We start from the raw sequence: 25,708 nt of genomic DNA, 5'->3' as shown, positions 1-25,708 counted from the left end.
TCCTTTTTCTGTCCATAAATCTTCTTCCACCATGTGGCTGTGCCGGAGCCTCCAAGCCTACTCTGTCAGGGAAGGCTGCCCAATTCGCGAGTCGTTCATTGCTCCATTGCACTCCTTCAAATTTAATTTGGCTGAGGTTTTTCTTTTATCAGATGATGTCAGAAGCAAGGTCTGAAGTAGAGCTTCTAACGACCCCCAGGGGCGCTAAGTGAACAAGTGAGGTACCAACAGGATCCATTTGTGTCCATTGATCTCTCAGAGCCACTGGGGATCATGGTAAGTTCTCTCTTGAGTTTTAGAGCTCCATGGATTTGTGCTTTGAGTTCTCTGAGTTTCTTTGAGCTAATTTCTGACCCAAACTCGGTTTGGAAGTCATGACAGAAACTGGACTGGGTCTAGGAGTGGGTTTGATTGACTAATTAACTGGCTTGAATCCAGTTACAGGTCTCTTAGGTCTGACTGGGTCAGAAAGGTACTGGTAGTAAATGGTAATGTTGTAGGGGGTGTAAAATTTGGCTTTTGGAAATTCACGGGGATTTTTGTGTTTTACCCCTTTGTTTCATTTTTCGTGAGTACTTAGGTAGGAAAAGAAAAATCACTGGCTAAGTTAATCAAGGGAACCTGTGAGCAAAGCCAATATCTTAGATAAAAATGGAATCTTTAATTTCTGAAGAACTGAGTTCCTTCTGGCTTATACATGAATAATAAGTATTAGGCCCTGGAAGCACCAAAGCCTTACAGAAATGGTAAAATCTTACTAAAGATAACTTACAGTGGAATGTTCCAAATGAACAACAATGCACTGAAGTGCATTTGAAAATGAGGGCTTCCAAATTAGTCTCATCTGGGAATACTTATTGATACGCAGAAGTTTCTAAAAAGATTTTGGCATTTTTATTTAACGACTTTGTGAAAGGCAAATAAAAAGCTTAAGTGACAAATATACTTAAAAAAATTAAATCTGCTAACCTTTTAGCTAAGTTGCTATCCCATTCCAAAGGAAATAGACTGCAGTACCAATTGGCTGACTTTGGGTAAGCAATGGGGTACATTTTACCTAGGTAAAGGATGGGATGGGGTGCAGTAAAGTCCCTCTTGGTCAAAAGTGGACTTGGCACTATAGGATTTTAACCACTATTCTCTTTGGATTAATCTGCCTTGCACTCTTTGCTGGCAGCTATGGCTGACAGGATTAGGCATATACAGGACTTTGGAACATGGAGAACTTTTTCTCCCCAAAGGGGAAAAGTTGAGAGCTGATGGGACTGGAAAAGATTCTTTATCAACCAACCAGCTGCCACCTGAACTATTAATTCAGTGTCTCTGCAATGGGTGGGTCTTTCTCTGGCCCCCCTGAACTCCTCACCTTAGATAGCGCAGACAATTCTTCTCTCTCTCACTCCTTCACTGTGCAAAATGGATGCGGGAATGGTAAAAATCACTATCTCTTGCAAAGTTTTAATTAATAGGAAAAAGGATTCATGAGGCTAGTCTTAAGCTGTAACGAATCTGGTGAACTTTGTGCTGTGAATTTGTCTTTCTGTGTCATTCTGCCATGAAGAGAGGTACCTTAAAATAGAACATGAGCTTAGGACCCCATAAGCTTGCTGTTCAAGATAGCCCAGCAAGCTGGTCAGTAATAAACTTTGTTACAGATCCCTGAAACAAACGAAGAAACGGGATGAGGTCTCCATCTTGTTTATGTCCTTGTGAACTTGATCTTGTAACCATGTAACAGTATTTTCTCTTGGTCTCTGCCGTCTAAGGAACAAGAATTTTGAGGTTTATGTCATAGTTAGCTCTAAAAATTATTTTGGGTACTTAAAAACCATTGCAAGCTCAAAATTGACTGCTCTATACTCTTCTGGGAAGAGCAATGTAAACTACCTAATGTTACAACTCAGCAGCTAAGGCTTTGCCATTTTACAGTGATGGCCTGGGTTCAATCCTGGCTTAGGGAATAAGTACTGCTGGTTGGTATCTGTGTGACCTTTGCCATTTGTTGATTGTCTTCTCCATGAACAACTTCTGGCTTTCCTTCTTGAATTTTTCTTTCTTTGTGCTACCTTTGAAAATTCTACATTTTGTAAAAACTGCTTACCTCCTTTTTGAAAATACTTTGTATGCCAAGGTTAAGTCATAACCTTAGTTGAGGCTTGTTGGTTTCACCTGTGAGGTTACTTTTGGTAAAGTTCAAAAGCCAGAAGTATTAGCCAGCTGTTTAGCCTGACTAAAGTGGGTTAATAAGAAATTTAGAAGGACTTTTGTTTTCTTTAAAGAGTACTATGGTTAAAAGTCAGCTTAATTAAAAATTGATATCCAAGCTATACCTATATTTAAAAGCCCTTTTATGGTTTGTTTTTTTCTCTTCTTGAATCTTGTTTTTCTGGAAAAAGGATTTTTTCTCTTTTTTCTCAGTTGATTGAATTATTTTTCTCTGTTTTTGTCTTGCCACTCTTGATGCACATAGGAGAGGACTTAAGAGAACTTCTAACAGCTTGGCACTCCTTGGGAAAAACAGAGGAAGCACCATAGATCTGTACTGGGAAAAACGTGCTTTCCTCAAGAAACCCCAGGAATTGAAAGTGGATGGATCTCTCTCAAAAATGTAAAGCTCTGTTCTGCTTTGCATTGTGTTAGCTAAAGGTTTTGAGTTTTGGGCTAATCACAGAATGGGCTGATTGGCTTTGGGTTGCTTTGCAATAAAATGCATTGCGCTGTCTTCTCCCATAGCATTTCCCTCTTTTTTGGGATCCATGATCCATGATGCAAAATAAAAACGGGACCCTTAACTTTGGAGAACTGTTTTTGCCTTACAGGTGTGCCTGCTTATTAGGCCCTAGGAACTACATGCTCTCCTGGCTCTGTTCCTTGAAGGGATGCACCCTGAAGCCAGTAATCCAATTAAGAAACTGGCAAATGAAAAGCCCTACAATTATTAGATATTCTTCTGTCTGTCTGTGTAGTTACATATGTGTTGTGTGTGTGGTGCTTATATAGAAGAACTCTGATTAATTGGCTTAAAGAAAAATAAGCACTTAAATATTTTGAAAGAAAAAAACTATAACACTTTTAGTTCATGTGACCTCAGTAATCTTTGGTAAAATAAAGACATTTGGTCTAAATTAGGCAGGTCAGGTACTAGGTTTGCTAGACGCTTTAAGGTCATAAACTGCTTCTTTGGCTTTTGAAAATTGTTCAAGTTGCCTACTTTACAGCTAAGTAAGGCCTAGGAACATGTGGAGATAGCCATGCTCCCTAGCTATGCTGGAAAGAGTCTTTTTATCTGCACTTCTGTCTGGTGCCCTAGGCTCCACACCTAGTACCTAAATAAAATCACTAACTAGCCAGATTTTTCACCAAAAGTTGCTGAGAGGTAACAGTGTAACATATACTTGAAACTACTGAAGAAACAGTTTTACATGCAAGGTGTGTAAGGACAGTGAAATGCACCTTTAGGAAAAGATTATAAGAAGCCATAAGAATGTACATTTTTGCCTAGGTTAGAAGGTTAAATGATTGTTTTAAATGAGATAGAATAAAGCTAAACACTTGAGCAAGCTGTAAAAGATTTGTAAAAAAAAATCTTGTAAAAAATTATATGTGTTAATATATTGGCTAAAATCAAAAGGGTTTTATTCAGTTTATCTGGAAATTGAACAATGGAATAAAGGTACAACAGACTTTTTCCTAGAACACTGATCTGCTCCTTAGCAAAAATTTGTAAAGGGTTATAAAAGGTTTATGAGAATCTTACCTTAGGGTCAAACACATTAAGATTGGATAAATTTGTCTATAAGGTTTTATTAAAGATTGGAGTTAACATTACTAGTACACTAATGCAAGGGTGAAATTTGGCTTTCTATCTTGAAAAAGACTTTCATGTAATATTAAAGGATAATGAAAGGTTTTTGTTTGCCTTTTGAATAAACTACCAAAAAAGGAAGGGAAAGACAAGAGACAGATTGTTTGGAAAGCTAAGTCTTCCCTCTATCAATGAGTAAAGTTTTTTTGCTTAAAAAAATTTTTAAGTCATCATTTTGGCTAAATGAATGACTTATGGTGACCTGGAATTCTATTTTATATCAAGTATTTTAAACATTTAATATATATGTTAGACTTCCCACAATCAAATTTCAGCTTCAAAATGGTCTTTTCTGACCTCTAACTTTGAGATACTGAGAGGTGACAGCATGCTGGCAGTCCTCAGAGCCCTCGCTTGCTCTTGGCACCTCCTCTGCCTGGGCTCCCACTTTGGCGGCACTTGAGGGGCCCTTCAGCCCACCACTGCACTGTGGAAGCCCCTTTCTGGGCTGGCCAAGGCTGGAGCCCACTCCCTCAGCTTGCAGGGAGGTGTGGAGGGAGAGGCGTGAGCGGGAACTGGGGCTGCATGCGGCTCTTGCGGGCCAGCTGGAGTTCCGGGTGGGCGTGGGCTTGGAGGGCCCCGCACTCGGAGCAGCCGGCCAGCCCTGCTGGCCCCGGGCAATGAGGGACTTAGCACCCGGGCCAGTGGCTGCAGAGGGTGTACTGGGTCCCCCAGCAGTGCCAGCCCACCGGCGCTGTGCTCGATTTCTCACCGAGCCTTAGCTGCCTTCCCGCGGGGCAGGGCTGGGGACCTGCAGCCCCCCATGCCTGAGCCTCCCACCCACTCCATGGACTCCTGTGCGGCCCGAGCCTCCCCGACGAGCACCACCCCTGCTCCAGGGCACCCAGTCCCATCGACCACCCAAGGGCTGAGGAGTGCGAGCGCATGGTGCGGGACTGGCAGGCAGCTCCACCTGCAGCCCCGGTGTGGGATCCACTACGTGAAGCCAGCTGGGCTCCTGAGTCTGGTGGGGACGTGGAGAGTCTTTATGTCTAGTTCAGGGATTGTAAATACACCAATCAGCACCCTGTGTTTAGCTCAAGGTTTGTGAGTGCACCAATCAACACTCTGTATCTAGCTGCTCTAGCGGGGCCTTGGAGAACCTTTATGTCTAGCTCAGGGATTGTAAATACACCAATCGGCACTCTGTATCTAGCTCAAGGTTTGTAAACACACCAATCAGCACCCTGTGTTTAGCTCAAGGTTTGTGAGTGCACCAATCCACACTGTATCTAGCTGCTCTGGTGGGGCCTTGGAGAACCTGTGTGTCGAAACTCTTTATCTAACTAATCTGATGGGGACGTGGAGAACCTTTGTATCTAGCTCAGGGATTGTAAACGCACCAATCAACGCCCTGTCAAAACAGGCCGCTCGGCCCTACCAATCTGCAGGATGTGGGTGGGGCCAGATAAGAGAATAAAAGCAGGCTGCGGAGCCAGCAGTGGCAACTCGCTCGGGTCCCCTTCCACACTGTGGAAGCTTTGTTCTTTTGCTCTTTGCAATAAATCTTGCTTCTGCTCACTCTTTGGGTCCATGCTGCTTTTATGAGCTGTAACACTCACCACGAAGATCTGCAGCTTCACTCCTGAGCCCAGCGAGACCACAAGCCCACCGGGAGGAATGAACAACTCCAGATGCGCTGCCTTAAGAGCTGTAACACTCACCCCGAAGGTCTGCAGCTTCACTCCTGAGCCCAGAGAGACCACGAGGCCACTGGGAGGAACGAACAACTCCAGACGCGCTGCCTTAAGAGCTGTAACACTCACCGCGAAGGTCTGCAGCTTCACTACTGAGCCAGTGAGACCACAAACCCACCAGAAGGAAGAAACTCCGAACACATCTGAACATCAGAAGGGACAGACTCCAGACGCGCCACCTTAAGAGCTGTAACACTCACCGCGAGGGTCCGCGGCTTCATTCTTGAAGTCAGTGAGACCAAGAACCCACCAATTCCGGACACAATACTACAGAGAGTCCCTGAAACATCCAAAAAAAGAGGAAAACAGGACTATCTGACATTCCAAGTTACATGGGAAGCATTGTCAAAATAAAAAATAATGTATAACTTTCTTCAGGCTATATTTTAGTGAATGACATTAATATATGTTCCAAAATTATATGTCATGGTAAAATTCGAATATGTCTGAGTATATGCTATCAATCATAATTATGATTATTATGTTATTAAAACCACAGAAATAACTAGATTGCTTTGTCAGTTGTGTCTTTAATTGTGACTATTTAAAGTCATTTCCACTGTTAATTGCTTAATGCTGATGCAGTTTCTGAAAACGTTGCAAGCACACAAAAACTGAGAATATGGTATCTTTTAGGAGGTTCATGAAAGGATGAAAAGGACCCTGAAAAGCACTCTTTAATACAGGTTTCTGGTAACTTTAAAATCATGATTTGGACTGGGTAGGAATTCCTGGAACTTTACTGAAAAAACTGACTGGTTTATAAAACTGCTAACCCAAGGAGAACAAAAATTAATTGAAACCAAGAAAATATTTTGCCATATTTTCATCCTAAATCAGCCAACACTGAAATTGTTTAGATATACAATTTGAATAAACTCCATGGTCTAAGTCAAATTACCTAGAGTAACCCATTAGTTATCAGTGCTGTGCGCCTAAATTGGAGAAACAACTGGTATTCAAGACGACATAAGTCCAATGTTAAGCATGGACTCATGGAGAACCAGGACAGCTTCCCTGCCCTTCCTAAGTTCTTATAGCTTTTGTAGTTAAAAGTTCCACATTACATGATACATCCTGGAAAAGATAAAATGAACGAAATTAAATACATATTGGTATGGTGACTTCTAAATTGCTAAAGTAGTTTATGACCAATGTTTGGTTTGTCAAATCCGTATTCCTGGGAAGACAATGAAAGCTTCAGAAACATTCAGCTACTTGATGAGCCATTTAAACATTTATAGAGGAATTTCATTCCATTGTCATTTTCAATGCATGTTTTCTGGTTGTATAAAAGCTTTCCCATTAGCAAGAAGGCTAATGCTATAACAGTAGATTATTATGCCACAGTCTATTTTCACCAGGTAAAGAAAGCTTTTTATGGTTCACAGACTGAGGACAATCAACCCCTTCACAATCTAGAACCCAAACACTGGATCTTCTGAGAATATCAGAGAAAGACAGACCTTGCCATCCACACTGAAACTAAACTTCAGGACCTTGAACATTGGGTTCATAATTTCACAACTGAGTAGGGTCCCTCCACACTCTTGGAACTGTACACCCATTGGAACACTTAAGGTAAAGCTAACCAGGGAAGTTTATCCCCAAAAGAAGATGGCATCCTTGATGTGAACAGCTTTTTCTAAGATCACAGATCAAGACTTCTCTACTATCATAAAACTCTTATCTTTGCATATTTTTCCCTTGCTTATGCCTCTATGAACAATAGAAATGAAAAGGGGATCTGTTGTGTGCACTTATGGGTATACTTTTATTTGCAAAGGATTTTGCAGCCAGCCTTATGCATGGATAACCTTATACCTTGATAGATGAAAGATGAAGGCCCAATGTAGGTGAGAAACTTTAATGGTACATATGTTGCCTCATAGTCAGAAACAGAGCACTGTTTCACTCTTCTTAACCCACATCATGGGTTAAAAAGAACATTGCCAGGAGGGCTTCACTGTTCTATAAGGGCATCATTTGTTAGGTCCTTTTTCCATGGTTTGGAGTAAAAGAGGCAATGATTAAAAATGTATCCCTCATGATAGGCTCTATAGCAGATTCTACTGTAAAGGCTATGGTTACACAACAGACCTTAAATTCTCTTGTGAAAGTTATGCTAAATAATAGATTTACTCTAGATTACTTACTGGCTAAACAGAAGTATCTGTGCAGCTGCTGACACTTGTGGCACATGGAGAAAACATTGGGTAGTATAGAGATTCAGTTGTAGGGGATTAGAAAAGAGACTGCTTAGTTAAGCGAGCAGACTCTTTATCTAGCTCATTGTTTGATCTATTTCATTTTAGATGGTTTGGTTTATGGGGATCCTGGGTAAGAACCATACTCCAAACTCTCGATATTATCTTCCCAATAGTCATAATAGTAGTCTCCCTGGTGCACTGTGTTCTCTCAAAAGTTTTCAATGCCTGCATGCAGCCATGTCTGGAATGTCTAATGGTCTCTCTTCAACTAGAATGACAAGACCTGAAAGAAATATGTGACCATGAGGACACCGTAACCTATGAATGACATGCTGAGACCAGAAAGCCAAAATGATGGTAACTCACAGTGGTGCTAGGGCCCTAAGTTTTGGTCACATTCTCACCTAAGTGAGAACCTGATTAAAAATGGGGAATTTTCTTGTCTCTATCTCTTTCAGCTCTACTCTGATCTTAGTTATTTTTTGTCTTCTGCTAGTTTTTGACTTTGCTCTTGCTTCTCTAGTTCTTTTAATTGTGATGTTAGGATGTTGCTTTTAGATCTTTCCCACTTTCTAATATGCTTATTTAGTGCTATACATTTGCCTTTAAACACTGCTTTAGCTGTGTCCCAGAGATTCTGGTACATCGTCTCTTTGTTCTCATTGGTTCCGAAGAACTTATTTATTTCTGCCTTAATTTCCTTATTTATCCAGTAGGAGCATGTTGTTCAGTTTCCATGTAGTTGTGCGGTTTTGAGTGAGCTTCTTTTTTTCTTTTTCTTTTTCTTTTTTTTTTTTTTTTTTTTTGAGATGGAGTCTCAGTCTGTCACCCAGGCTGGAGTGCAGTGACATGATCTTGGCTCACTGCAACCTCTGCCACCCAGGTTCAAGCAATTATCCTGCCTCAACCCTCCAAGTAGCTGGGATTACAGGTGCCTGCCACCACATCTGGCTAATTTTTGTATTTTTAGTAGAGACGAGGTTTCATCACCTTGGCCAGTCTGGTCTTGAACTCCTGACTTCGTGATCCACCCGCCTCAGCCTCCCAAAGTGCTGGGATTACAGGCGTGAGCCACCACACCCAGCTGTGAGTGAGTTTCTTAATCCTGAGTTCTAATTTGATTGCACTGTGGTCTGAGAGACTGTCTCTTATGATTTCTGTTCTTTTACATGTGCTGAGGAGTTTTTTACTTCCAATTATGTGGTCAATTTTAGAATAAATGCTATGTGGTGCTGAGAAGAATGTATATTCTGTTGATTTGGGGTGGAGAGTTCTGTAGATGTCTATTAGATCCTGGATCTGTGGTTTGGTGCCAAACATTAATTTGGGAGAAATTTTTAGTCATTATAAATTCAACTATTTCTTCTGTTCTTTTCTCTCTCTTTTTCTCCTTCTAGAGTTTTTATTACACATATTTATACCTTTTGTAGTTGTCCTACAGTTCCTGTATGTTCTGTTTTGTTTCTCTTTTCTGTCTTTTTCTCTTTGCTTTGCAGTGTTGGAGGTTTCTACTGATATATCCTCAAGCTGAAAACAGACTTTTCTCAGCTTTGTCTGTGTCCAGTCTATTAATGTGCCTAAAAATGCCTTTTTATAAAAATGTGTTTTTTATAAAAGGCATTTTCCACTTCTGTTATAGTGTTTTTGATGTCCAGCATGTATTTTTGATTCTTTCTTAGGATTTCCATCTCTCTCCTTACACTTCCCGGACACTCTTGCATGCCAATTGATTTATCCATTACAGCTCTTAGCATATTCATTCTAGTTGTTTTAAATTCTCAGTCTGCTAATTCCAACACCTCTGCTATATCAGATTATGGTTTTGATGCTTGCTCTATCTCTTCAAACCGTGTTTTTACCTCTTAAGATGTCTTATAATTTTTAATTGGTAACCATAAATAATATACTTGATAAAAGGGACTGCAGTAAACAGACTTTTAGCCATGTGGTGGTCATATGAGAAGGAAGGCCAGCATTCTGTAGTCTTATGGTCAGATGATGAAGTGTCAGCCTTTTAGTGAGTCTGTGCCTCTGTATCGTGAACTTCACTTGTGCTTCTCAATTCCTTCCCCCTCCATTAGATGGTACCCCATGGCTGCTGGGGTATTCCCCTTTCTCCAGGACACTTAGGCTCTTATAAAACGTCATCACGTTAGGCTCTGGTTGAATAGTTTCTCCTGAGGGCAGACCTTGTTAAGAAAACAGAATGCTTTGGGATAGTTTAAAATGATTCCTTTTCACCTCTTCCTGCCAGAAGCATGAGGGAGTTTTTCTGTGATATTCACTGTGAGGCTCTAATAAAGCTCCAGAAGTTAAAACTCACACAAGGGTGGTGTCTTAGTCCACTTGTATTGCTATAACAGAGTACCTGAGACTGGGTAAATTATACATAAGAGAAATTAATTTCTCACAGTTCTGGAAGCTGGGAAGTCCACAGTCAAGGTGCCAGCAGGTTTGGTTGCCTGTTGACGACCTGGGCTCTGCTTTTGAGATGGTGCCTCAAATAACACATCCTCCAGAGAGGAGAAACAGCATGTCCTCATATGGTGGAAAGCAGAAGGGCAAGTGCACTGAACACTGCCCGTAGCCTCTTTAATAAAGGCATTAATCTCATTCACAAGGGAGCAGCCCTCACGGTCTAATCACCTTTCAAAGGCCTTACCTTTTAATACTATCCCATTCAATGGGTAGTATTTTGGAAAGGACACATTCAAACCATAGCATTTGGATAGCCCACAATGGAAAGGTCCCCTTGGAGATTTTACTTCTCAGACTTGTCCACTCTAAGCCTCCAGCAATTTGCAAATTATAGTTCAGGCTTTCCTGTCCCCACACTGGTTCCCACAAGGATTGCTGCTCTGGGCTTTCTGTTGTGGTAAATTGCGATTCTCTATATTTTCCTCTTCCTAGTTTCCCTTCTGTAACTTATTTCTAGTTCCATTCCATTCTGAAAAAAATATTTTGTATGATTCAATATTTGAAATATTATGACTTATTTTGTGACCTAATATATTGTGAATTAAAAAATAACACAAAGTTTTTTTCTCTGCTCTCACACCACAACAATCAATACAGACAATTTCTGTGAACAGACTGTCAGCATTTCTCCTCACCAGCAAGCAAGCAATAAACTCTGCCACGGACATGAGCCTTCTGGCCAACTGGCTGTAAATTGGGACTCCCATGACCCCCTCCTTGTGTTAGGCTAATTTGCTAGAGCAGCTCACAGTACTCAGGGAAACACTTGCATTTACTAGTTTATCATAAAAGATGTTACAAAGGATAAAGATGAAAAGGTGCATAGGGTGAGGCATGGCGGAAAGGGCGCGGAGCTTCCATGCTCTCCTTGTGCCTCACACTCCAGGAGCCTCCACATGTTCAGCTATCCAGAAGCTCCCCAACATGTCCTCTTTGGGGTTTTATAAAGGATTTGTAACATAGGTTAGAAATGTGATTTGGCAAAAAGGGTGTGATCTAGTGCTAATAGAATGAGTGGGGAAACTCAGCAAGGCCTGTGTACTCAGATGCACCTTGGCCTCTCTCTGCAGCATTCCCATCTCCAGGGTATGGGGCAGGAGTTTTCTCATCAGACAAGATAGGTCAGATGACCTTTATGGAAAGGTGGGAAAAATTAGAGTGTTGTCTTGTGGAGAAAAATGATCAGATGAAAGGAGGGTGGAGGTCAGAGAGAGAGAGAGAAAGAGAGAGAGAGAGAGATTCTGTTTTTGAGGTCTGCTTCTGAGGCCTAAAGCACCCAACATTATAACAAGGATGATGGGAGTTATGAGCCAGAAACTGTGGACAATCCCATTCTCTATCTATATCTATATATTAATTCTATAGAGAGATATATAATATCTATGATACATATAAAATATGTATGTTATATATATAATATCACACATATGGGCTGTTTTGGAGAATGTTTCACATTTACATGAGAACAATGTGTACTCCTCGTATGTTGTGTGGAGTGTTCTGCATATATTTATTAGATCCAATTGGTCTATAGTGCTGTTCAAGTCCTCTATTTTCTTATCTATGTTCTTTCTGGCTGTTTCATCCACTGTGGAAAGTAGGGTCATTGAAGTGTCTTACCATTATTGTAGAACTATCTATTTCTCTCTTCAATTTTGTCAATGTTTGCTTCAAATAATTAGGCACTCTAATGTTTGGTGCATATGTGTTTATAATTGTCATTGCTCCCTGATGAAGTCACCCTTCAACTATATTTAATGTCCTTCTTTGTGTCTTGTAACAGTTTTTGACTTAAAGTGTATTTTATTTCATGTTAATATAGCCACACTTCCTCTCTTTTAATTGATATTTGCATGTTTCTTCAAGGGTGTGTGAAAGAAAAATACAATCTCAGTACCTGAAGCTCACTAAGCCAAAGGCAAAAGTCAAGCTGGGAGCTGGGTCATGCAAACCTGCCTCCTATTTTGTTCCCAAATAGATGGCTACATCCTTCCTCAAGTTTTTCTCACAAGAAAATTTCCTATGGGCCCCAAGATCTTTACCCTAAAGTGGTTCTGTTAAATTTCACCCTGACAATGTACATTATTAACAGCTTATCTTCACAGGCATAGGGCAAAGGACAGAACAAAAAGTCCTCTCTCTGCTCAACTGAGACAAATCCGTACCTGACTGCTTCCTATACTCTATGATTATTTTATCTTATGTTAAAAACGCAGATTCACGGAACCAGAAGAATGCATAATTGACTTTTCCTTAGCCGGCTTCTTTCACATGAAAAATGTGGACTCAGTGAAAATAATCAAAAGACTGAAAGGAATGCAACTGCTCGCCTTACCTACCCTCCCTTTTTTTCTCTCTTCCTCTTTCACCTACTGCCTGCTGTTTTCCCTATAAATAATGAAGCCCCCAGACCCTGTGTGGAAAAAGCACAGACCGCAGATGTTTCCTGTGGGTACGTGTTCCTTTCTCCTGGGCGTGTCTTTCACCTCGGCAAAATATACTTCTAAAAAGGTTGAGACTTGCCTCCATCATTTTCTTGGATTTACGGGTGGTTTCCGACAATTCATTTTCTTCCCTGAAGAAGTTGTATTTTCTGGTGTCTTTGTACGCCTTGTGATTTTTGTTGTCGTTGTTGAGAATTAAGAATTTGAAAAAACAGCCACTTCTCCTAGTATTTGCGGACAGGCTATGTGATGGGGAAGATCTTCACTAATTCTCAGGACATGTTCTGAGCCTTGGAGTCAGCCCAAGGAGTAGCTTAAGATCTTCTCAGGTTTTTTCTGAGTATGCATCTCGTCTGAGCCTTCATGTGGCTTTAACTATTTCCCCATAAACATGGCTCCTTTTAGACATCTTAATTTTCCAAAAGTCTTGTTCCAGCTTCTTTGTGTGCCCTTAGAGGGTTTATTACATGCTTCCATTTGAAATCTCTTGCCCAGGCATCTTCAGTCTCTGTAGCCTCCCTGCAGTTTTTAAGAGCAGTTCCTGCTGCTTTCCATAGCTTTTTCTCAGCCTGCAATCTGAATTAAACTGCTTCTCTTATTCTGAGCTCTGAGTTGAACAAAGCAGGACTAATCCTTCAAGCCATCCCCAGACAGGTTAGACTCTGCTCACTAACATTAGAGGGAAAGAACTGGGAGCTGGGCTGCCACCTCCTCCAAACCAACACTGCTCAGTGCCAGGGAAGGGTGCAGAAAGGGGGAGTACAAATCCACAAAATCTCCTGCATTTTGAATGTTGCTTTTTCTTGAATGGGCAGTTGCTTGGCTCCTGTACCTTTTCACTATTTTCCAAAGGTCCTCTAATTGTTTTTAAAAAAATGTTTCTGGGGGTAGTAAGTAGTGTCTGAAGTTCCTTAGTCTGCCACCTTGCTGATGTTGCTGTATCATCTGTTTTAGGACATGAAGGATGAGCTGCAAGGAAGCTGCTCAAGATCACACAGCTCGGGAAAAGGAAAAAGTAGAGCTGAAATTTCCATCGCTGCCCTTCCGAAGGAAAGAACTGCTCTAGCCATGCACCTGGCTGGGATCGCCAATTTCCCTTGTTACCTTGGATTTCCCCTGGCCCCAGGGCTCAGGACGCTTGTCCATGCCTGTCCTATGGACTTGTCTTATCCCAGGTTCCTTAGAAATAGGATAATGGGTCTGCTGTGGTTTGAATGCATTTCTGCCAAAATTCAGGTGTTGAAACTTCATGGCCCATGTGATCAAATTAAAAGGCAAGGCCTTTAGGAGGTGATGACAAGGCTGTGAGGGCTCCTCCCTTGTGAATGGAAGAGGCACCATCACAGTATCCGGCTTGCCTGCCCTTCTGCCTTCCCTGAGGACGCAGGGCTCCTTCTCTCCAGAGGATGCAGCAAGAAGGCACTGCAAAGGGAAATAAAAATCTCGGGTCACATATGCACCACGGAATACTATGCAGCCATAAAAAAGAATGAGTTCATGTCCTTTGCAGGACATGGGTGAAGCTGGAAACCATCATCCTCAACAAACTAACACAGGAACAGAAAACCAAACACTGCAAGTTCTCACTCATAAGTGGGAGTTGAACAATGAGAACACGTGGACACAGGAAGGGGAACATCACACACCGGGCCTGTCGGGAGGTCGGGGGGAAGGGGAGGGAGAGCATTAGGACAAATACCTAACGTATGCAGGGCTTAAAACCTAGATGATGGGTTGATAGGTGCAGCAAACCAACATGGCACATGTATATTTATGTAACAAACCTGCATGTTCAGCACATGTATCCAAGAACTTAAAGTAAAATTGAATATATATATATACATATATATATATATATATATATATATATATATAAAACCTCATGCAAAAGTGAAGATTAAGCCCTAAAGTTCAGTCATTGCCACACTGTCATTCAAGTAAGCAGCTGCTACCAGCAGTATGCACCCTCCAGATACCCCATGGAAAGGCAAAAGGCCTCAGACATCTGGAAAGTCTGGCCCCACAGACCACTCACGAGTAACTTCTTTGCTGGCCTCCCATAAGCAAGGTCATGCCAATTGTAACTTTAGGTCTGCAATCCAAATCTAGTTCCTGAAGCTCCACACTGATAATGTCAATTACTAGCTTATCTCCCCAGGTGCGGAACAAAGGCAAGATGAGATTAATCATTCCTTCACCCCTCCCTGAGTTGGCTACATAATTGTTTTATTTCTGTATTCCTTTTTTCTTCAAAGGTTCACCTTATCTTATGTAAAATGTAGATTTAGTGAGAAGTAAAGTCTCACAAGTATGTAACCATTCTCCTCACTGCCTCCCCTCCTTTTTAAGAAAAAATGTATAAATACTAAGCCTGCTGAGAACCTCTTTGGAAAGAATGGTTGTGTCTGTGGCTCATGTTGTGGGCGCACTCTCAGGCTGGCTCAATACACCTTGATTGGTTGAGACACCTGCTTCAGTCACTCGTTTTGGTCGTCTGCACCATCTTGGAAGCAGAGAGCAGTCCTCACCAGACAACCAAATCTGCTGGCTGGTACCTTGATCTTAGACTTCCCAGCCTCCAGAACTGTGAGAAAATAGATTTCTGTTTTTATAAATTACCCAGTCTATAGTATTTTGTTATGACATCACGAATAGAGTAAAATATAGGCAGAGCTCACGGCCTACCATTTCATGGTGCAATGTTACAGCACCAAAAATGAGGGGAGAAGAGGGTGATCCTGAGCTTGCAACAGCTTTACAGGAAAGGAAACACGACTGATTTCTAATTTCTCGTCACATGAGACATGTATAAACAGGCCAGGCAGAAGGGTCTGCCAGAGGAAAACAGAGAAAAGGATTCATCTGTCTGTTCCCTCCTGGCTCCTGCTCTCCCAGGACAAAGTTCTCATCATGGGGGATTGCCTTCCCCAGCACCCTTCCAGATAGCATCAGCAGCCACTCCCATAGCTAGTGGGAAAGCCAGAATGCTATCCCCTGGTAAAGGAGCACATGTGGCTTGTGAAATCACAGGAGAAGCCAGAACTGCACAGTCTGCTGGGATTGTGCAAAGGCACTGGGGCTGCTGTGGTTTACACCATTGTGGGCACAATGGAGGCCATGCCAGAGCCCTACTCTCACCTCAAGGACACATGGCTGGTGCTAGGGGAGGAAGAAAAAGATGGGGTAGCAACCTGGGCTCTGTATTAAACAAGCAGCATGGGGATAGGTGGGCTGAGCAGAACTGGGGAGGTAAATTAACCAGTACAGCACTCGCCTGGTGTGGGCAGCTTCACTGTGCTTGTCTGCCTGTTCCTGCTCCCCCAAGAATGGAGCTGAAATTCATTACCCTGCTGTGTGTCTCAATCATTCATGTACCTCATGAGCTTTCTGGGGCATTAGATGACAGTCAGATGAATGCAGGGGCAAACGGAAGAGGGCCTGTAGAGACACCAGGATTCCAAAGTTTCATAGAAATGGTGATGCAGTATCCGGGAGAATTGAAAACCGAGTTATCACCTAGTTGAGTTTAACTCCTCATTGGATTCAAGAAGCTCTATGTTTTCCTTTTGAGGAAGAAAACTTCCTTTTAGTCCAGGGTGGTGCTCTTCCCTCCAGTTTAAGCTCTGCCCCAATCTTATTTCCTTAGGATACCGGTTCACATCTGTTCCCGCTCTGACCAGCTCCAGGATTCTGCCCTTGGCTCTGAGAAACTTATATTGTGTTGTATTCACCTGTTCAGGTGGGAAGAAACTGGAAACAAGAATAGCCTAGAAGAGCAGAGGTCCCCTTGGCTGCAGGATGGGTGTGAGGAAAAACTTCCCTCTCTTTTCTTTTTCCATGTGAACAGTTCTGAGACTCCTTTCATAAGCTCCTCAGATGATCGCACTGGCGTGGTGCACCCACATGGGGGCTCACACATAGAAGATCAACCTCTTTCTTGTCTCAGCTCCTTGTCCTGTACTTCTGCCCTCTAGGGTCCAGTTCCCAAATAAATTACCCAGGCGCAAGCCTTGCCTTAGATTACACACACACACACGCACGCGCACACACACACCACACACACACAGGAGATTACACACACGCACGCACGCACACACACACAGGAGATTACATACACACACACAGGAGATTACACACACACATGCACGCGCACACACACACAGGAGATTACACACATGCACGCACACACACACAGGAGATTACACACACAGGAAATTACACGCACACACAGGAGATTACACACACAAACACACACGCACGCACACAGGAGATTACACGCACGCACGCACACACACGAGATTACACACACACACGCATGCACACACGGGAGATTACACACACGCACGGGCACACACAGGAGATTACACACACTTGCGCGCACACACACACACAGGAGATTACACATACACACGCGCACACACATACACACACACAGGAAATTACACACATGCACGCACACACACACAGGAGATTACACACACAGGAAATTACACGCACACACAGGAGATTACACACGCAAGCACGCACACACACGAGATTACACACACACGCATGCACACACACAGGCGATTGCACACACACGCACGCACACACGGGAGATTACACACACGCACGGGCACACACACAGGAGATTACACACACGTGCGTGCACACACATGGGAGATTACACACACACGCACGCGCACACACACACAGGAGATTACACACACACATGCACACACACACGAGATTACACACACACATATGCACACACACAGGCGATTACACACACGCACGCACGCACGGGAGATTGCATACACACGCACGCACACACACACAGGAGATTACACATACACACGCACGCACACATACACACACACAGGAGATTACACACACATGCCTATGCTTGCACACACACACAAACACACAACCCATATCACTTCTATCTTAACTAAGATAGTGATTTTGGCTTACTACCAAACCCAGGGCCCAAGTTGACCTTCAAAATCTGAAGTTTGCTCTTTAACCCTTTCCTTCATTCTGCCCGTTTTTGTTGTTGTTGTTGTTGTTGTTTTTTAATGCTTTGGGAAGGGAACTAGAGTGTATAACATTCACTGAGCTCTTTTTTCTTGGTGCCAGATATTGTTGTAGGTGTTTCCACAGGTGTATATGTATATATATATGTATTTTTACATTTCTCACTATAACCCATGACAGAAAATATTCCCAGACGTATGATATAATGAGCATATGAAGCTTAAAGAAGTTAAGTTTCTGACATAAGATCCTGTATTAACTGGTCCTGCCTGGCTCTTTAGGCCTTAGAGGAGGGTCTGGGGGAAGAGGGGTTCCTGCCCCAAAGAAGGGCTGGGTGGAGTTCAGTTGAGATACCAGAGTGCTGTGTGGGAAGAATTGCCAGAAAACAGGAAACCTTATTTTTCCACCAAACCATCTGATTTTTCTCAACAACCGACAGAAATCGTCTGGGAAACCTGGCTTGCTGTGGTCACCTTGCCCTGTCCATAGAAATGGAAACAGAATGGAACAGCATGTTATTCAGGAGAATGGTGATGACTCATGCTTGTAGATAAGAGCTAAGACATTACAACAGTGAGTGATCAAGGATTAGCGGCTTCACAGCGGAGCTAGCATTTTCTCCCCCCACCCCCAGAGGATAAGGGGGCTCAATTTGAGGCAGTTCAGCGACACATTAACAGTGGGAGCAACCATACAGGGCAGCAGAATCAAAGAGTCTGTCCACCTCAGCCCAGCCAAGCAGCTCTGTGCAGAAAGATATAGGAAGGAGCTCAGGTCTTCTCCAAGGACCACCTGGGAGCAAAAAGCCAGAAAGCAATTGAAGCTGGTTCAAACATCAGCTGCTCTTATTGCCACAGCAATGTAACGGTGACTGAAAATAGCACATGCCACTGGCAGAACGGGGGTCCCAGAGCAGTCATGCAGAGGGCATAGCATGGCTTCTGCCGCATTCTATTGGCCAAAGAGAATCACGAGGAAGCCGAAACTGGAGGGGTGGGGAGAGGAACTCCACATCTCAGTGGGAGGAGCTGCGGAGGGCTCAGATACAAGGAGAGGTGGAGAAATAGGACCATTTTGCCATGAATCTACCAGGGGGGCTTATTAGAAGGATTTGTAGCGGAATTATAGGAAATGCTGGTGAGCATGAGCTTTCCTGTCTCTTTCTGCCCTCAGTGGATTGGATGAGGCCCATCCACACTAGGGATAGCCGACTGCTTTACTCAGTCCACTGATCCAGATGTTAACCCCATAGAAACACCCTCACAGGTGCATCTGGAATAATATTTTATTACCAAACATTTGGGCACTCCATGGTTTGATCAAGTCAAGTTGATGCATAAACTATACAAATGCATCAAATTTGCTTTGCTACTGGGTCCTCTCCGACCCCAGGACTCTTAATCTGCAGATTCACACCTGGAGCCACCATCTTTCTTTGCCTGTACCTGCCTTCTTGGCAGTTGAGCACTCTGTGTCTGGAGGCCTGACACCACCCCTGAGTGTATCGCCACACTACCATGAGCTTTGTCTTTTGGAAACAACTAGCTTCTTCCTAACACCCCCCTCCCAAGTGGAAAAGTTTTAAATTTGCTCCAAGACATGGAGATCCATCCTGGAACATGGGCGATGTTTACTTTCCAATTCTGTCTAGGGTTGTCCTCCCAGCTACCCTGCTGCCACCCATGCTGAGCAACTTTCCACTGTACTTGCCACTTAATGCTCAACATTCTTAGAAAAATGGAAGTTCACACCAAAGTTAGGTAGGGTCAGGGACACCCTTCCACCACCTGCTTGTGGGGTGAGGTTCATGGAAGATTTGAGCTGCCCTAAGCCTCATAGAACACAGAGTCCTAGACATAAAGGCTGTGAGGAAATGATGACCTTTAACCCACTGACTTTCCAGGGCACACACCTGGCCCCTATGGGGAAAAGGCTCACCAGATCACCAATCACAGAGGTCCTTCCCATTCCACAAGACGCCCCCAGACAGCTGGAGAGAAGTCACCAGCCCAGAGCTTCTGAGAAATAGATGTTGTGTCATGGACCAAGGAGCAGAGGGAAGCGATGGTCTCTCTGCGCACTTCCCCTGCCTCCCCACTCTCACCACCAAACCATCTCACAAGGTTCTTGTCCAATAGACCTCCTCTCTCCTCATCAAAATTCTTGCTACTTCAAGGCCAAACTGAAAGAACACTTGGGCCTCCCTAGGGCTGTGCTTGTATTTGAAAGAAGGTCTTGTGGAAAGTCCTGCTTGTATCTGCACCCGTTTGTGAGGTCGCTGGAACAGCTCTTCTCCTGCCACCTGCTGCATGGCCTTGGCAGTGTTACCCAGCAAATGCCCATCAGAGTCAGAGTGATTTCTTGTTGAGGTGCAATGCTCCAATCAAAGCTCAGAAAGAGGAAGCGATCGCCAAGCTCTGCTTTCAACTAAGCGCCCTCTCCTCCCCTGCCCTCTGCTCCTCTCTTTCACTCCAAGGCCCTGGAGATAAAGTTTTTCTGATTTGCAGTTCACTAGAAACACAATCTCTGGTCATTTGAATGTAAAGATGTCACAACAGGATGCCAAAGTCATCAGCTCACCTTGGACCATAGCACCAGGACCCTGGCCAGACCTGAGCTGAGCTTTCAGACTGAGAAGAGCAATGTCCCTAGGAAGTGAAGCCTCATGTGTTCCGACTTAACTAAACCCTTGAGCTCATGGCTGTCAACAAGCTTTCTCGGTCCCGTACATCCACTCTTTGCTGATTTAATGGTCTTGTCTTTATTGTGATGTATTTTCATTAGAACCAGAGCCCAGCAGAAAGTTCAAGGCTCCTGCAGACTGTGAGTTCTACAGATGATAAAAAGAAACAGCAAAGGCACTGAGAGCTCTCACATCTGCCAAGCCCCTAGGATCCGCGTCTGCCTGAGAGTGAGGTTGGGACAAGGCTGCAACTTTCAACTCTCAGCACAGACAACAGGACGCTTAATGTCATTTCTCAGGGGGCACTCTGGGATGCCTTGATGACAAGAATAATTAGGCTGTTTTTGACTTCTTCACCTCCTCCTTTATCTACTCCTCTTGGTGTTTATGGCTTTGGCGACCAACTGTCTTTGGTTCCCCCAGGCTGCCTCAAGCCTTGGTCCTGGTTCTTTCATGTTCCCTCTTGGCCCTAATGGGCTGGGCACCTTGTCCTCACACCTGCATCACTGCAGCGGATAAACTAACCCAACTTCCTGGGATGCACTGAGAGAAAAGTACAAAAACTAAAGCTTCCCTGAAATTCACTTTAGCTGTGCAATGCATACCTTTTCTGGTTTCAAAGTCTGCTGTTGTTGTTATTAATAATGGGTCTGTAGTTTCCCATTTGTCTGTTTTGTGACATTAATTCTACACTCATCAGAGGAAAAGAAGGGCCATTTGTATTTAAATAATTCAGGATTCCGAAGCTGCTTGTCTACTCTCTATCCTTATGTCCAAAATCAGCAAGTGTGCAGTATTTGGTTATTCCCCTATTAAAGCTGCATGTTTTTAAAATTAAAATTACTCATATGCAGACCTAACAAATGTAGTAGGAACAAATATTGATTTTTCTCATCTTATTTAGCACTGCATATTTGCTGATGCTTTACAGCCCACCATCAACTAATAGCTGGGACCTCAGTCTGAAAACAGCAGCAATGAGCCCCATCAGTCAGAGAAAATAAAGACGGAGCCTGAATATCAACTCCAACTCCTGCAGAATTATTTCCTATCTGCCTGAGGGACTCATTAACATGCGTGGCTGTGATGCTGGCCTCTGCTTTCAAGATCCTCATTTCTGAAGGAGGAGAGCTACCCTGAAAAAAAAGCCTGCTTAGCAGCTCATTTTTATCTGTTGAAATGAGCTATTAAAGGTCTGGAGGTGGAGTTTATTATTTATTTTAAATGGGGTCCATTGATCCAATCTGCCCATATTTTGAAGATGCTTTTACATGTCTCATCTAACTCACATGCTGTACGATGAAAAGTGACTTGCAGTGAGATTGCATGTGAAGCAGCTGCAGCCTCCTGGCTGCGCACGCTGCTGGGTGTGTGGGTATGTGTCCAGTCTCATGCCACAGAGGACTCGGTCAGAGTCTAATCTGTGTTCATTCTAGAATTCCTGCAAGCCAGGCATGTCTTCAAGTAGAGGGAGTGGATTTGTGGAAAATAGAAGGGTCCCAGGTCCCCGAGCAAGCACAGAGCTAAGGAAGGGGGCTGTGTTATGTCCATCAAGGGCCAACAGACAGGGAGGATGCATTTTCTGAGTCCCACCTTGCTTTACGGCCACTTTTTCCATCCCAATAGCCCTAAATAGCTGCCAAGAAAACACACAGAAAGTATTAAGAATAAAATGAAGGTGATTCAAGAGTGCATCTGAGTCCACCGTCCACCTCACCTTTGTTTCTCATTTGGCTGCTGATGAAAACGGGAGGGGGCCCTGAGGGGAAACAGAGAGTGTGGAGCCAGGAAGGGGAAGGGGCAGTCTCAGAACTGCCCCAGGAGCCAGAAGGCTCATTCTGGGTGGGACGCCTGGCATAACACAGGCTGAGCTGAAGCAGCCTAATATTAGGAGCAGTTCAAGATGAGGGTGGAGGAAGCATTGGCCATCTGGGTTTGGGGATGCTTTATGATGTGGCCCTCCCCTTGGGTGTGTGATGAGCACCTGGGCCCTGGGACACAGTCAGTGCTCTGTGCCAGGTCACTGTGCCTGTTCCCCAGTGGAGCATGCTGGGCCATGCAAGTTGACTGGAGAGAGCTGATTCCCATGTCTCAGGTGGGGGCATCACTGGCTTCCTTTTAAAAGCACTGTCTGCCAGCCAGGCACAGTGGCTCATGCCTGCAATCCTAGCACTTTGGGAGGCCGAGGTGGACAGATCAGTTGAGGTCAGGATTAGAGACTAGCCTGGCCAACATGGTGAAACCTCATCTCTACTAAAAATACAAAAATTAGCCAGGTGTGGTGGTGTACACCTGTAATCCTAGCTACTTGGGAGGCTGAGGCACAGAATCGCTTGAACTAGGGAGGTGGAGGTTGCAGTGAGTGGAGATGGCACCACTGCATGGAGTGAGACTCCATCTAAAATAAATAAATAAATAAATAAATAAATAAATAAATAATACACTGCCTGCCTTTTCCGTAAAGCTAATTTTCTCAAACTGGACAATCTTGCACAATTTAAGAAGCTGACAGAAGCTTTCTCTTAAGGTTTGCATTAATAACAAGGCAGGTCTTCTTCCTGGGAAGGGTGCCTCAGAACGGCTGTCCCTGCAGGAGACCTTGGTGCTCCAAGGCTGTCATTGCTATTCTTCCATAGGCTGTCTTGTCCCAGAGGCTAGAACCCAACTTAGAGGATGAGAAACTGAAGACAAAATCCATACTCAAATTTCCTGGTTGTCTGAGATGTAACCTTCCTTAGCCTTTGCAGAGAGCCATACAAGATATGGGAGGACAAAGCTTAACTGGGTTGTCATTAATCAAGGTATGATGGTGATACTTACCTGACTTTCAGGATGGATTGTACAGTTTCGGTGTCTCTTAAAGTGAGTTGTCATTTTAACCAAGAGGGTGTTGCATCTCTACCCTTCCACAGACCACTAGAGCAAAGTACATCTCTCGCAGGACAACCGTGCTCATTTGGGGATCACAGCTTATGTTCTGGAATGTAGGAGGCTTCAACCAGGCACAGCCAGACTTAGCTAGTTCTGCAGGGAAACATTCCTAAACACACATCCTCCTGGTTGGGCAGTGCCCAGGCTATGCAGAGCAGGCCTCGAACTGGTGAGAACACCTTCAGGAGTACTGCCCCCCTACTCAGCATGCGGGGGCAGAGGCTTGGGCTTGCTTGACCCTGACCAGGCCCAGTTTGATGGGAACACAAACCCACTGCTATGTAAAACCTTGCGTGGAGGTGCTGCTGGGGTAAAGGATGGTCAAATATTCACACTCCAGGATCCAGCCTCCATCCCTCTCCCGGTTTACATCTCTTTCAGCAGAACTTTACTAAAGTCCCTGGATGGAAGCCTGGCAGCACAGTGGCAGCCATTAGCTGACATTCTTCTCCAAGTCCATGGATTGGAAGCACCTGCTGAAAACCTGCAGCGTCTCAAATAACCTCTAAGTTGTCCCCGAGCCACATCTTGTTTCTGAAGTTGTGCTTTTGTGTGCCATGGCACGGTCAGTGATCCCCTTCAAATTACTCGCCATGGAGAAAAAGTGAAGCAGAGATGATGTTAGCATAAAACTCCAAACTCATCTCCACAGGAGCAGGAATGATTCAGCAGGCCCTATGGTGGGAAAATGAGGCATTGTGTAGTTTGAGTAAGATAAGATTTCTAGCTTTCCCTGTGAAATTTTGTCTACTGCTTCTAGATGTGTAAAGTGCGTAGACATTCTTTACCTGTGATCGTACTGAACCCACAGGAATCAACTGCCACCACTTACAACAATATTGTCTGGGGGTTTGGTAACTGTTCACTGGGATGGACAGAAACAGATTCTTCATGACCCAGTTCTTGCTTTAAATAAATCCCACTCAGCAGTGAGGGTCTGGAATGTTTTCAGTTACGTTCCACGTGATATGTTGGCCAGTGATAAACTGCGTAAATGACAGTGATCCCATAAGGTCATACCATATTTCTACTGTACTTTTTAATGTTTAGATACACGAATACTTACCACTATGTTCCAGTTGCTGCAGTATTCAGTACAGTATCATGCTGTACAGGTTTGTAGCCTGGGAGCAATAGGCTCTACCACATAGCCTATGTGTGTAGCAGACTAACCATGTAGGTTTGTGCAAGTCACTCTATGATGTCTGCACAATGACAAAACTGCCTAGCAATGCATTTCTCAGAGCTTATTCCCATCGTTAAATGATACTTAATTGTATATTAAGGCATCCATATTGAAGCAAGAATTCCTTGCTCTGCAGGGCAGTGGAGAAGTGGCCCACTGCGTTTTGAGGCATACTGTATTTATTTATTTATTTTTGAGACAGAGTTTTGCTCTTTCACCCAGGCTGGAGGGCAGTAGCACGATCTCAGCTCACTGAAACCTCCGCCTTCTGGTTTCAAGGGATTCGCCTGCCTCAGCCACCTGAGTAGCTAGGATTACAGGTGCCCACCACCACATGCGGCCAATTTTTGTATTTTTATTAGAGACGGGGTTTCACCATATTAGCCAGGCTGGTCTCAAACTCCTGACCTTGTGATCTGCCCACCTTGGCCTCCCAAAGTGCTGGGATTACAGGCTTGAGCCACCACGGCCAGCAATGGACTGTCTCCTAGGACACCGGCACCCAAGGGAATCCGAGGTGGGTGACCTGGCCCAAGTACCCAGGGCTTCTTGTCTAATCAGCTATTGAAGGGAAGACTGAGGAGGGGACCAGTTTTCCTCTGGGATGCTTGTTTTAAGGCAAGGAATGTGTCTGCTGATGTAAATATTTCCTTTAACTACCCAGTTGGGCCCTCATCCAAGAGTCTCTTGGGCTCTCATTTGCCTCCTACTCTTAGAGAAGGGGAGGGCTAGGCAGTGGACAGCTTGGTCCCCAAATTTGTGAGTGGCTGGATGTATTCTACTCGTTTACTTCCTTTTCTCTATCTCTAGGAAACAAATGAATTCCAGACTTCAACTTCCATGTGGTACAAGTTCTCAACCAAACTGACCACCAATACTATCGAAAAGACAGCAGCCCCCAAGCAATTTGGCCCAAAGCCCACGAACCTCCTACCCTCCTCCCATCCCTCTATTTTCCCTATTATTCAGAAAGAAATCACTGTTATTCATTGCACAGACCAGGTAACAGTTAAACAGATGGCCGTATACATAAAGACAGTTTCACAGTCCATAAGGCAGAGGACGGGAAGGTGTGTCTTCTGCAGAGTCTCTTACAGTTGCAAGTAGAGATCCACCCTACCTGCTGGTTGTCATGGAAGAGCCTGCTGATCACGCCTCACTATCCATTCTCCATTTTTCCTGTCGTATTACAGCTTGT

At 43.9% G+C, this 25,708-nt stretch overlaps 1 long non-coding RNA gene across 1 annotated transcript, besides 1 other annotated feature; it reads right to left on the bottom strand.

The window, feature by feature from the left end:
• Nucleotides 1–876: 876 nt before the first annotated feature.
• LINC01721 (long intergenic non-protein coding RNA 1721) lies at nt 877–25,698 on the bottom strand. Its single transcript, NR_040102.1, has 4 exons — nt 25,631–25,698; nt 12,774–14,116; nt 5,763–5,842; nt 877–1,761 (listed from the first exon to the last, which is right to left on the bottom strand). It is a non-coding gene; the product is annotated as a long intergenic non-protein coding RNA 1721 (long non-coding RNA).
• Nucleotides 12,994–13,536: an enhancer, noted in NCBI's record as "OCT4-NANOG hESC enhancer chr20:24192565-24193107 (GRCh37/hg19 assembly coordinates)". NCBI's record gives its function as "activates a minimal SCP1, AML or CMV promoter by ChIP-STARR-seq in naive H9 embryonic stem cells {active_cell/tissue: H9 hESC(naive)}" and the evidence as "EXISTENCE:reporter gene assay evidence [ECO:0000049][PMID:30033119]".
• Nucleotides 25,699–25,708: the final 10 nt, after the last annotated feature.

The sequence above is a fragment of the Homo sapiens genome, chromosome 20 (assembly GCF_000001405.40).
Source record: "Homo sapiens chromosome 20, GRCh38.p14 Primary Assembly".
NCBI classification, from domain to species: domain Eukaryota; kingdom Metazoa; phylum Chordata; class Mammalia; order Primates; family Hominidae; genus Homo; species Homo sapiens.
Note: the sequence above shows the minus strand (reverse complement) of the source record. Positions and strands in the feature narration are given on the sequence as shown.